General features: G+C 61.2%; 1 long non-coding RNA gene across 1 annotated transcript, besides 1 other annotated feature; it reads right to left on the bottom strand.

Moving 5' to 3' along the window:
• Positions 1–6,966: 6,966 nt before the first annotated feature.
• On the bottom strand, positions 6,967–10,477 carry LOC105371411 (uncharacterized). Its single transcript, XR_001752336.2, has 3 exons — positions 9,826–10,477; positions 8,157–8,276; positions 6,967–7,179 (listed from the first exon to the last, which is right to left on the bottom strand). It is a non-coding gene; the product is annotated as an uncharacterized LOC105371411 (long non-coding RNA).
• Positions 10,582–10,691: an enhancer, noted in NCBI's record as "active region_11392". NCBI's record gives its function as "activates an Ori minimal core promoter by ATAC-STARR-seq in GM12878 lymphoblastoid cells {active_cell/tissue: GM12878}" and the evidence as "EXISTENCE:reporter gene assay evidence [ECO:0000049][PMID:35858748]".

Consider the following 11,497-nt stretch of genomic DNA (forward strand, 5'->3'; position numbering starts at 1 on the left):
GAGGACGGGGTGGAACAGAGCCTCGGCCAGGCTCCTGCTAGAGAGCGGTTGCCGGCACTTGCTCTGTGCTGACCCCGCTGTCTCTGTCGCCTCCCTTGCTTGAAGAGCCCCATGTTGGTTATGCATGACCTCTGACCCTGGAGACGCAGGTGACAACTCCCGGGCATCGGGGAGACGAGGTGTTGGGGACAGAGCCGGCGGTCATAGCCTCCAGCTCCTCTTCCTGCATGGAGTGACCTGGCGCCGCGAGGTGGAGCTGGTGTCCGAGCCCTGAGGATGAGGCTGCTCCCTCCGCAAGGTGGGCGAGGAGCCAGGAAGAGCCAAGGGAGTGGCCACCCTGCCCTGACGGCCACCAACGGCCACCACGTCACCCTAGAAGACAACCCAAGCCCGTCTCCCCACACCTCGCGGATGGTGCAGTGCAGAGAGAAGGCCGGGCGGGTGCTGGGGGGCCCATCTCCCCGAGCCTTGCAAATAGTGCAGTGCAGGGAGAAGGCCGGGCGGGTGCTGGGGGGCCCGTCTCCCTGTGACTCGTGGACGGTGCGGTGCAGGGAGAAGGGCGGGCAGGTGCTGGAGGACTGAGTGAGGCCCCTCCAGGATGGCTCCCTGCCCCTCCATGCGCTGGGTCCTCGGGCCAGGACAGGTTGCATCTGGGTCACCAGCCCCCTCACACCCGCTCGCCTGAAGGCGGCCGACCCTGGCCACTGGTCGCCTGGTGGCAGAAGCCTCTTCTGGGCATTTTCAGGCACCGCAATGCTCTTCACAGCGTTAACTTTTTTTTTATCCAACCAAGGACAACCTCAGCTTCAGAAAGCCCTGGAATGCCCCACAATGGACAAGCAAGGAACACCCTCCGGGACGGACCGCGAGACTCGGCCCTGAGATGCCTCAATACCCTGGACACCCCAGAACCTCAGATTGCGTGGCTGGGGCTCCTGCGGCCACCCTGCTCCCCAGAACCTCGTCGTCTTCCCGGTGCCCTGCGGCAGGAACACAGGGCTGGAGCCGACCCCCAGGGCATGGCTGGGAGCTGCGGGAGTGAACGGGGAGTTAACCCCCAGGGCATGGCTGGGAGCTGCGGGAGTGAACGGGGAGCTGCCTGTGGCATCTGCCCTGTGGCTGTCACTCCCCTCACCTGTTCCCAGCCCGTGTCTGACAGGTCCCACCCTGGGCCCTGCCCCATCCCGCCCTCGAGGCCACGCCCCCTCTGTGCCACCCAGGCTGCTCCTGGTCACAGTTTGCATTTAGGCTGCAACCTCTGACCTCAGGCCCCTGGGTCTTCCTCTGCATTGGGCATTCCCAGGCCCCAGGCTGGAGGAGGCTCTGGGAGGTACGGCCTAACCCTGGGATTGGGGAGGTCAGGGGCCTGGGCTACTCAGCTGACCTTGTGGCCTTGCCCTGGAACCCGGCCCCTGCTGCCTCCCTGGGTTCACTCTGTTCCACCACACGGGCCTTCTTGCTGCCCCTGAAATGTTCTGGGAGCTCCTCCGCCGAAGCCCTGGCTGTTCCCTCAGCCTGGACGCTCCTCCTGCATGTCCCGGAGGTGGCTCTGTGGCCCGCTGTGGCTACCCAGCAGGACCTGAGGTCTGAGGCCCACTGTGACCGCTGCAGGTGCATGTGATGTGAGGCGCAGGAGCTGGGAGAAGGGCAAAGCCCACCTTCCTCTGCAGCTGCTGCCTGTTCTCAGCTCATCTGGAAGAGAAGGGAAGGTTCAGAGTGCGGGGCCGCTCAGTGGGAATCAGCACAGACCTGCCAAGCACCCTCGTGGCGCTGACCTTTCCTTTAACCTCCCGGGTGCCTGGGCGCGTCCTGCTAAAATGAAACGAAGAGCAGATGTGAACTCGGGACAATGAACCACCAGCGTGTCCAGCTGTGGGGCTGGGACCCCTTCAGGATGCGATCAGATCAAGGCAGGCAGAAGGGCCGTTCCCGCAGCCACAGTCCGACTACAGAGTGACACCATGGGCTGGAGTGACCGCCGGGGAGGGACGGAGCCTGGAACCATCAGTGCCTGGCCTCCCCCAACCCTGTGTGGGCAGCTGCTGGTGTTCAGCCCCCACCCTGCCAGCCCCCACCTGGGCTCCACCCATCACCCCGACAGATGGGCTGAGTCAGGGGACCCCCATCGAGAGTCAGCACCCTGCTGCCGGCAGGTCGCACACCTCCGTCACGGGGCACCACTGGCAGGGTCTCAGGAGCCCCGACACCTTCCGAGGCCTCTCGGGGTCAGCACCTCCCCAGCCAGGGCCTCCAGTTCCCCGAGCGGGTGCCACCAGGCTGCTACCCCTGGAAGAGAGGCATCTCCTGATGGCTGTAGAAGGGGCCCCTCTCCTGGGCTCACGGCTCTGTGGGCCTCCCTGCCCGGGCTCATGCAGGGCACCTGGCCTCCTGGAGCTGGGAGCAGAGGCTGAGCCCGTCCTGGGGTTCTTGCTGGTCCCACACGTGCAGAGATGTGCAGACAACAGGCTCAGCTTCGCACGTCTGTACCTCAGCTTCCTGAGTAGGATGTGAGGGCTCAGTGAACCCCCAGATTCAAACATCAGGGCCAGTGCCACAGCCAAAGCCCCATCCCCAGAGCAGGTTAAATGTCACTGTACAGCCATGTGCGGTGGCCGGGTCCGGGTGCTCTGGCTGTGATGTTGCGTGCCCCGCCTGTGTGTGTGCGTGAGCGTGGGTGGACTTCCAAGTGTGTGCAGAGTCACATGCGGGTGATCCTAGGCGTGCATCCGCCTGTGAGCACGTGGGAGAGTGCGCCACCCGTGTGTGTGGTCCGTGAGCATCCACCAGGTGCATACACACCACGAGCCACTGTGAGCATGCAGGGTTGCGTGTGTGCCCATGAGCCTCCATGAATGTGCAGGAATGCATGTGTGTCTAGGCGTGTGTGTCCGTGTGCACCTGTTTATGTGACCGTGCTGCAGTAGGTGCTGGTAGGCAGGAACCCAAAACCTGCAACAGCCCTGCCTGGCAATGTTCGTCCATTTCTGTGGTGTAAACTCTCCCACCAACTTCAAGCTATGACATGATGTAACTCAATTATGATGTGATGTCACTCAGTTTGGAGTGGGGAAGAGGGGAGCCCCATCGGCTCCCACAACCGGTTCAGGCGGCTCCAGCACCACTGGCCATGTGCACCTGCCTGCACACGTGTGTGACAGCATGAGTGTGATTGTCTTGCCCTGAGTCCCCACGTGGCACTGCTTGTCACTGTGGGCCTGGTGTGCGTGTCTCTGGGTGTGCCACGCTCAGTGCTGGGCACCCTCCATTCCATCAAGCCTCAGTGTCAGCCCCTAGGTGAGCCCTGGGGACCAGCGAATGGGTTCCTTCTGCTGGGAACTACCTGGTCACCCCACCCTGCTCCTCCACACGGCCATGGCAGCCAGCATCAGTGCAGAGCCAGGGTCCCATGGCCCACCCTGCAGACCCTCCTGGTGGCTGACAGTTAAGATTGGAGGGAGGCAGGGCACCCGGGTCAGCCCGGATAGCCAGCCTCGTTGGCAGCGGCCTTCCCGTCTTCAGTGAAGCGGGCCACGCTCAGGAAGAGAGTTCTCAGGCAATCGTGGGGTCCCAGGTGCCTTGGCCCTTGGCTGCACTGACAGCACTTTCCCAGCCATGCCCAGTGATGCTGGGGGCAGCCCTCTAGAGCCTCGGGTTCTCAGTGGCACCCCCAACACCTTGGATTCCACCTCATGAGGACAGCCTGTGCCTCAGAGCGACCACCACTCCTGCCTTAGTGCATTCAGGAATTGGGCCGACGGCAATGTCAGGACGTCCTCACAGGGCTGTGGGGCCAGCCAGCCCTGGGTTATCCGTTCTTCCCACCTCTCTGCAGGGCTGGGATTGGCTGTCCCACTTCACGCAGGAGGCAGCAGGCCCAGCGGGGAGAGGTCACTTGTCCAAGGCCTGGACTCTCATCTTGGGTTACCTCCACCAATCCCAGCTGTCCTCGAGGTCACCAGCCCCAGCGCCCACAAAGCACTCAGCAGTGCCAGCCCAAGAGAGAGTGGGCAAAGCCAGCTGGACACAGGAGCCCCTGCCCTCCTTCCTGTCCTCCTCCTCCCAGGTGGACGCGGGATCCCCTGTCCTCCTTCTGTCCTCCTCCCAAGTGGACGCGGGAGCCCCTGCCCTCCTTCCTGTCCTCCTCCTCCCAGGTGGACGCGGGATCCGCTGTCCTCCTTCCTGTCCTCCTCCCAGGTGAAATGTGGGAGCCCCTGTCCTCCTTCCTGTCCTCCTCCTCCCAGGTGGACACGGGATCCCCTGTCCTCCTTCCTGTCCTCCTCCCAGGTGAAATGTGGGAGCCCCTGTCCTCCTTCCTGTTCTCCTCCTCCCAGGTGGACGCGGGAGCCCCTGCCCTCCTTCCTGTCCTCCTCTCCTCCCCTTGAGATGTCTGCAGGACAGATGCAGGGTGGAGGGAGGGTGCCTGCCAGACCACTTGCTCAGCCTTGAGCTGGGGTGTGGACCACTGGGCATTGGTGAGAGGCAGAGAGGCGTGTGCCCAGCAGGGCCCTGCGGAGTCAGGATGAGAGAGTAGGGGAGGGGCCGAGCTCCTTCTACCCTGGGACGCCTCGTCCCACCGCCTCCTCCTGGACAGCTGCAGGACCTGGGCCTCTGGGAGCCTCCTTAGAGGGAGCCCAGGCCAGTCTGAGATGGTGCAGTCTGTACTGGGCCCTCCTGCCCCACCAGCCCTTCCTGCCTGTCTCCTCCACCAGGGCCTGGAGCCTCACGCCTGGGGTCAGTGGCACTGGCAACCCAAGCTGCCACCAAGCGCGAGCTGCTTCCAGTTCCACACACAGCAGAGGTGCTCACACCACAATCACCCTCAACAGCGCAGACGCTGCTGTGAGGAAACACTGAGGGATTGAGAGCCGCTGGTTTCGTCTGCAGTTAACCAGCGAGCCACTCGGTGCAGGCAGCAGGAGGGTCCCCACTGCCAGGCGGGGGTGACAGGAGCGCCCAGTTAACTTTAACCCGGGCTAACCACTGCCAGGGAGGTGCCAGGGCTGGGCTGGCCTGACTTGAGGGGTAGGGAAAGGCTGTCGTGTCTGGCGTCACCCCAGAGATGACCTGGACTGTCAGGGCTGTGTACTGATGGGGGTAGCCCCTCCCTGCCCCTGGGACCCAGGCCCCCAGGGGCTGTCTGTGTCACGGGATGGTTGGGCTCCAAGCCTGGGGCTGCAGGGTCAGAAGGAAGGCTGGGTTCCTGCCACTGGCAGAGGGGTCTGGGCCCCAAGGGCGGGCACATAGGGCACACCCCTTGACCCTCTGGAGCTCTCTTCTTCCACAGCTCGTGGGCCTCCTGGGTCCCTCCTGGCCCACAGGTCATCCAGGAGCATTGGTTCAGAAGCCTCTGCAGGCTCTTCCAGCCTGAGACGAGGCCTGGAGGCTGAGGCAGGAGCCCAGGAAGCAGCAAGAGGGGCCCCAGCTGTGTCCCTGAACCCTGGCAAAGATGGCCAAACTTTGCCTCCAGCCTCAGCCTCCCTGGGCAGCTCAGCCTCCACAGCAGGAAGACCATGGGAGAGTGGCCGGCGGCGGGGCAGTGGGGGGTGCCATTGGGGTGGTGGCAGGATGGTGGAGACAGGACCCACCCTTGACCTTCTGCCCATCAGTGGATGGATGAAGAAAGTGTGGCACACCCACGGTGGAGTACTATGCAGTCCTCAAAAAGGAGCAACACCATGGGCGAGCCTGGAGAACGTCACACTAAGTAAAATCAGCTGGGTGCAGAAAGACACACGCTACCCATCTCATGAATGTGTGGAATCTAAAAATGTCAATCCCCCTTAGGAGCTAAGAGCAGAGTGGTTGTGAGCTTGGGGTTAACCGTTCGGATTGAGAAGATAAAAGAAAATAAATAAAATAAAATTTATAAGGAAAGGCGAAGGACCTGGAATACTTAAAACAATCACCTAGCGCAGTGGCTCATGCCTGTAATCCCAGCACTTTAGGAGGCTGAGGCGGGCGGATCATGAGGTCAGGAGATCGAGACCATCCTGGCCAACATGGTGAAACCCCGTCTCTACTAAGAATACAAAAATTAGTCGGGTGTGGTGGCGGGCGCCTGTAATCCCAGCTACTGTGGAGGGTGCGGTAGGAGAATCGCTTGAACCCAGGAGGCGGAGGTTGCAGTGAGCCAAGATCGCACCACTGCACTCCAGCCTGGGCAACAGAGCAAGACTCCGTCTCGGAAAAAAAAAAAAAAAAAAATCTTGGCCAGGTGCGGTGGCTGATGCCTGTAATCCTAGCACTGTGGGAGGCCGAGGTGGGTGGATCACCTGAAGTCAGGGGTTCAAGACCACCCTGGCCAACATGGCGAAACCCTGTTCCTACTAAAAAATACAAAAAGTAGGCCAGGCTCGGTGGCTCACGCTAGTAATCCCAGCATGTTGGGAGGCCGAGGTGGGTGGATCACGAGATCAGGAGATTGAGACCAGCCTGGCCAACATAGTGAAACCCCATCTCTACTAAAAATACAAAAATTAGCTGGGCATGGTGGTTGTGCCTGTTATCCCAGCTACTCGGGAGGCTGAGGCAGGAGAATCACTTGAACCCGGGAGGCACAGATTCTAGTGAGCCAAGATCATGCCACTGCACTCCAGCCTGGGCGACAGAGCGGGACTCCGTCTCAAACAAACAAACAAACAAAACCAATCCTGAAACAAGGGAGAAAAAAGTGGAGGCATCACTCTAGCTGGCGTGGATATTAAAGCCTCATCCATTGTGACAATGTTGAGAAAGTGACGTGTGTGCATCAGGGTAGACTCTTGAACCAACGGAACAAAACAGAACAGAACAGAAAACCCAGAAACTGACCCACACAAATAGGCCCACCTGATTTTTGACAAAGGTATAAAAACAATTCAGTGGAAGAAGAGTAGCTTTTCAACAAATGGTGCTGGAAGAATCAGACATCTACAGGCCAAAAAAAAAAAAAAAAAGGAACTTTGACCTAAGTCTCATAACTTATACAAAAATTAACTCAGAACGTACCCAGAGGAGGCAAACCCACAAGGACAGAAAGCAGATCTGAGGCTGCGAGGGGAAAATCCGCTCATGTGTTTTGCTCTTGCCATTGCCAGTCATACGTCTGCTCCCGTCATCTCAGGGCGACGATTTCTTGGTGCTGCTCTGTGTGTTTGCTGTTTTCTCACCCTTGGCAGGTACATTTCACTCCAGTTTTTGCTAATTGTTAGAGAGATATTCATCCTGTTTTAATTTTCTGGTACTTGCCGTATTTTTCTCTGACCACGTGTGTGAGGAACCATCTCCCCGTGTGCGAGGACTTAGCCTGCCTCTGCCTCCCGTCACTGTCCTCCCAGGGATACTTATTTTTGTGGGCATGTGAAGAAAATGAAGACTCAGCTGATTGATGTGATTTTGGTTTGCATATGAAGTTTCCTTTTGGAATTGTTGGTGGGATTTGCACCTTATTTCTTAACCATGTCATAGTGATTACTGGGATTTGAGATCTCAGCCTGTCCGCCATGTGGATTCTTCCCTTGCTCCCTTCTGCGATTTAAGGAAAGGTTCGGGCTGCTTCCCACGGCCTTTTAGGATTCTGTATGCGTGCGCTGAAGGAACCCCAGGCTGATTCTCAGGCAGACATAGGCCTGGTCAGTGCAGGTTGAATTTACAGGATGAAATCCAAGCTCCACATCTGTCCGCACATGTCCCCCTGCCCAGCAGCAGCCCAGCTGGGCGGCCCCGCAACTGGCCCTGGGGTCTTTCCTTCTTCCTCGGCTTCTCCCCTCCTCCTGCAAATCCCCCTCCTCCTTCAGAAGCAGCCCCCAGGTGTGGACACAGCACATTGCTGAGGGTGCCCCTGAGCACCCACCTTCTTCTGGGACGGACCGGCGCCCAGCGGACACTGGAAGCATCTGAACTGGTGTGCAGTGCAGCCCTGATTTCCCGTGGGCTCCTCCCTTTCCCGTGGGCTCTGCGCTTTCTCGTGGGCTCCTTCCTTTCCCGCGGGCTCTGCACTTTCCCACTGGGCTCCTCGCTTTCCCGTGGGCTCCTCGCTTTCCCAGTGGGCTCCGCGCTTTCCCTTGGGCTCCGCGCTTTCCTGGTGGGCTCCTCACTTTCCTACTGAGCTCCTCGCTTTCCCGTGGGCTCTGTGCTCGCTCCCAGGACCAGCAGTCACTGTCCCTCCATGTGCTCACCTTGGGGCACCGGGCACTGGCTCCTGCCTGATTTATGGTCTTCCCCGCCCTGGTCTCAGCTGCCCCAGGGGCGCTGGCCCCGTCTTCACCTCACGCCCCCAAATGAATTACAGGAGCCACCTGGGGAGAAGTTTTAAGAGGAGAAAAATACCTTATGATCGAAAACTATGAAGAAGTAAAATAGCAGCTAGGAGCAGCTCCCCTAACCAATCCCTGGCTTCCACGGGCCAGTGGCCAACACCTGGCCAGACGGGCCAGCAGCCTCCTGCCAGGGCCCTGGGCTAACAGCTGAGGCCACCTGCACCCAGGAAGTTTCGTAGTGATTTTCAAGGTCTGGTTACCGAAAGGGCGAAGGGATGCTGGGCACTGGGGGAAATGCTGACCTCCAGCCTCCACCCCCACGGTGAGGAGCGTGAAGCCCCAGGGTGGGTGGGGAGATTCCTTGCAAAGGTGGCCCCGTCCCTGCACCCCTCACCCCTGCTGCTCCCCCACGAGGAGTGGGAACCCCTCATCCATGCCCACACAGGGGCCCTGCTGCTCCCCCACAAGGAGTGGGAAACTTGCAGTTTTCCGGGAGGGACTGTGCACCAACTCCAGCTTAGGCCTCCAGGGGCTCAGCCCCAGCTCTCCAAAGCTTCCATCGCCATGGAGACAGCAGGATCAGCAGAGCAGGGGGAGCCCATGAGGGCATGGCTGTGTCCAGCCTGGAGCGAGGTAGGGCAGGGGGTGAGGGGTGAAGCCCGGGGCCCAGGCTTGGCGGGGTGATGGGAATGAGGCAACCTGGCCCAAGGACCCAAAGCTGATGGAGACCCACAGACAAGGGGAGGTTGAGGAGCTGCAGGGTCTCCTGGTGGTGGTGGGGGTCTGGGACCACCCAGCCTCAAAAAGGCTGTGAGAATCACAGGAGTGTTTGAGACACCCCACAATTAAGGGGCATGGCGGGGACCAAGCAGGGTCCCAGAGCCCAGAGCAGAGACGGTGGGAAGGACGGGCTGTGGACGAGGATGGGTTCTGACAAGAGGAGGGTGACAGAGCGGGGCGGCCATGGCGGCAGGAGGGCTGCAGGGGCAGGGGAGGGAGTGAGGTCAGTGGGAGCTGGGGAGAGGACAGGGCGGGAGGGCTTGAGGGGCTGCTGAAGGTATGCACTGAGGCCTGCAGAGAAGCCAAAAAACGCTGGGTTTTGGGTGCCCCCATAGAAACACAGGGCCCAAAGGGAAACGGGGAGCCCCTCTCTACCCGGGACCCGCCCTCAAGGGTGGCTGGATGAAGTGTGTCTGGGGGCTTATGGTGGTGGTCACGCTCCAGGCCCATCCTGGACCGGGGATTCTGGGCCCAGGAAAGCTGCTGGAGCCTGTGGTCACCTTTGACCCCTGCGGCCTGGCTGCTCCTGACAGCATGAGTTGATTCAAGGACAAAGCCAGGACCCCTGGCTTGGAGGGACAGTCCCACAACCCCTGGGTCCCAGGCTGGCACACGTGCCTCCTGGGCCACCCCCACCTGCCCCCCACCGCTAGCACCCCACTCTCTACCCTCCCAGGCCAGCGCACTGCCTCCTGGGCCAGCACCCCCACCTGCCCCCACCGCCGGCGCCCCGCTCTCTACCCTCCCAGGCCAGCACACATGACTCCTGGGCCAGCACCCCCGTCCCCGCCGGCACTTCACTTTCTACCTTTGCTCTTCTTCCCCGGCCATGTCTCCTGCTCTGGTCCTGGGGCCGGAAGTCAGCGCTCTGTGCAGATGAGCTTGGGGCAGCCCACGCCCTGCAAACCCTGCCAGGCTTCTGAGCAGCCGTTGACCTGCCCTGCTCCCCTGATGCCTACCTGGGGGGCAAGAAGCCTAAGTCCAGCCCCCTTCCACAGGGTCCCTTTAGCTTCTAGGGACGCATGGGGGTGGGGTCCAGGTCCCCTGGCCCAAGGGCTGGAGGTGCCAGGGGCTCTTTGATTGCAGGAAGGGAGCCCCAGACAAGTAAGGGAAGGCCAAGGGGGCATGAGGAGGCTTGACGGTGTCTGCCTGGTGCGGGGTCCCCACCCTGCTCCTTAGGCCAGGCCGTGTGGCCCCCTCTTCTGGGCTCTGCCCACTGGGCTGCCCAAGGGCCTGGTGCACTCGGCCTTATCCAGCCTCCTGGCTGTGAGGCTGGAGCATCCTTTGCACGGTGGCTCCATCTCCCCTCTGCACCGTAAGGGCTGACGTCTCCAAGGGCTTCTGCGATGGGGGCCCTCTTTGCAGGCGGAGTCTGCTGGCCCTGACTTGTCCTGGGGTGCTTGAGTGTCCCAGGAGGCCCAAAGAAGAACAGGCTGAGAAAAGGGGGCACAGGTGGCCACGGCCCCAGGTGTGGTCCAGCCAGGCCAGTCCAGAGAAGGAGGAAGGGAGACTGGGTGAGGAGGGCCCGGCCCCTGGGAGTTTCCCAGCCGCTGGGGGCCCCGGAAACGTGGGCTAGCCTTCTGCTGAGCGCGTGACCATCCCCACCCTGGTCACCCACTGGGCTGGCTGGGCCACGTAACCCAGAAGCCCTCATGGCTTCCAGGAAAAGAGGCCGTCCAAGAGCCCTGACTCTGACCCAGGGGCATGGGTGGCTCCGGGAGTGACCTGTGGGGAGGGGCACAGAGGAGCCTCCCCGGGCCTCAGCCTGGGTCTTGCCTCTGGGCTGCGGGAGCCGGGGAGCCTCGGCCGTGTTCTGGGCTCCACACAGTCCCGAGCCCCACAAGATCAGCCCTGGCTTGGTTCTGTACGTTGCTTCCTGCAGGGGAGGGGAGGGGGAGGGGAATGGCCAACAGCTGGTGTTCAGGGTGCCCTGTGGGATGGCATGGCCCCTCAGGTATCAGGGAGTCCCGTTAGACTAGGCTCCTAACCAGGACCTGGGCAGGGGAGCATCACAGCGCTGGGGCCCCAGACTGCTGCCCACCGGCTGCCTGGGTTCCTCTCTGAACCTCAGTCTCCTCATCGGCCTGGCGGGAACAGCTGCTCGCTCCTGTTCTTTCCCCGTCAGGCGTGTGAGACGTGTCTCCTTTCTCTCCGCCAAGAGTGAACTCCCTTTGACCAGGCCTCGTGGTGGTTCAGGGAGAGATGTTCGTGAAGCAAGGGCGTCCCGTGAGCCTGGCCCGTCACCCGACCTCTAGGCTTCACAAACCTTCAGATCTGAGCAACACACAGTCGTGACCCTGTGGCTCCAGAGCTCCCTCTCCAAGTGGCTTCTCCGGGTCCCGCAGAGCAGGCCCTGCAGATCCAAGGCCAACCTCCTAGGACCCCGGCCTCCCACCCACAGGAGGGTTTTCCCTCGGTCCTAAGCGGCCCTCCTTCCAGCACGGCAGGGAGACCTGGGGCTGCAGGGATTTGCCGGGAGA

This window comes from Homo sapiens, chromosome 16 (assembly GCF_000001405.40).
Source record: "Homo sapiens chromosome 16, GRCh38.p14 Primary Assembly".
NCBI classification, from domain to species: Eukaryota; Metazoa; Chordata; class Mammalia; order Primates; family Hominidae; genus Homo; species Homo sapiens.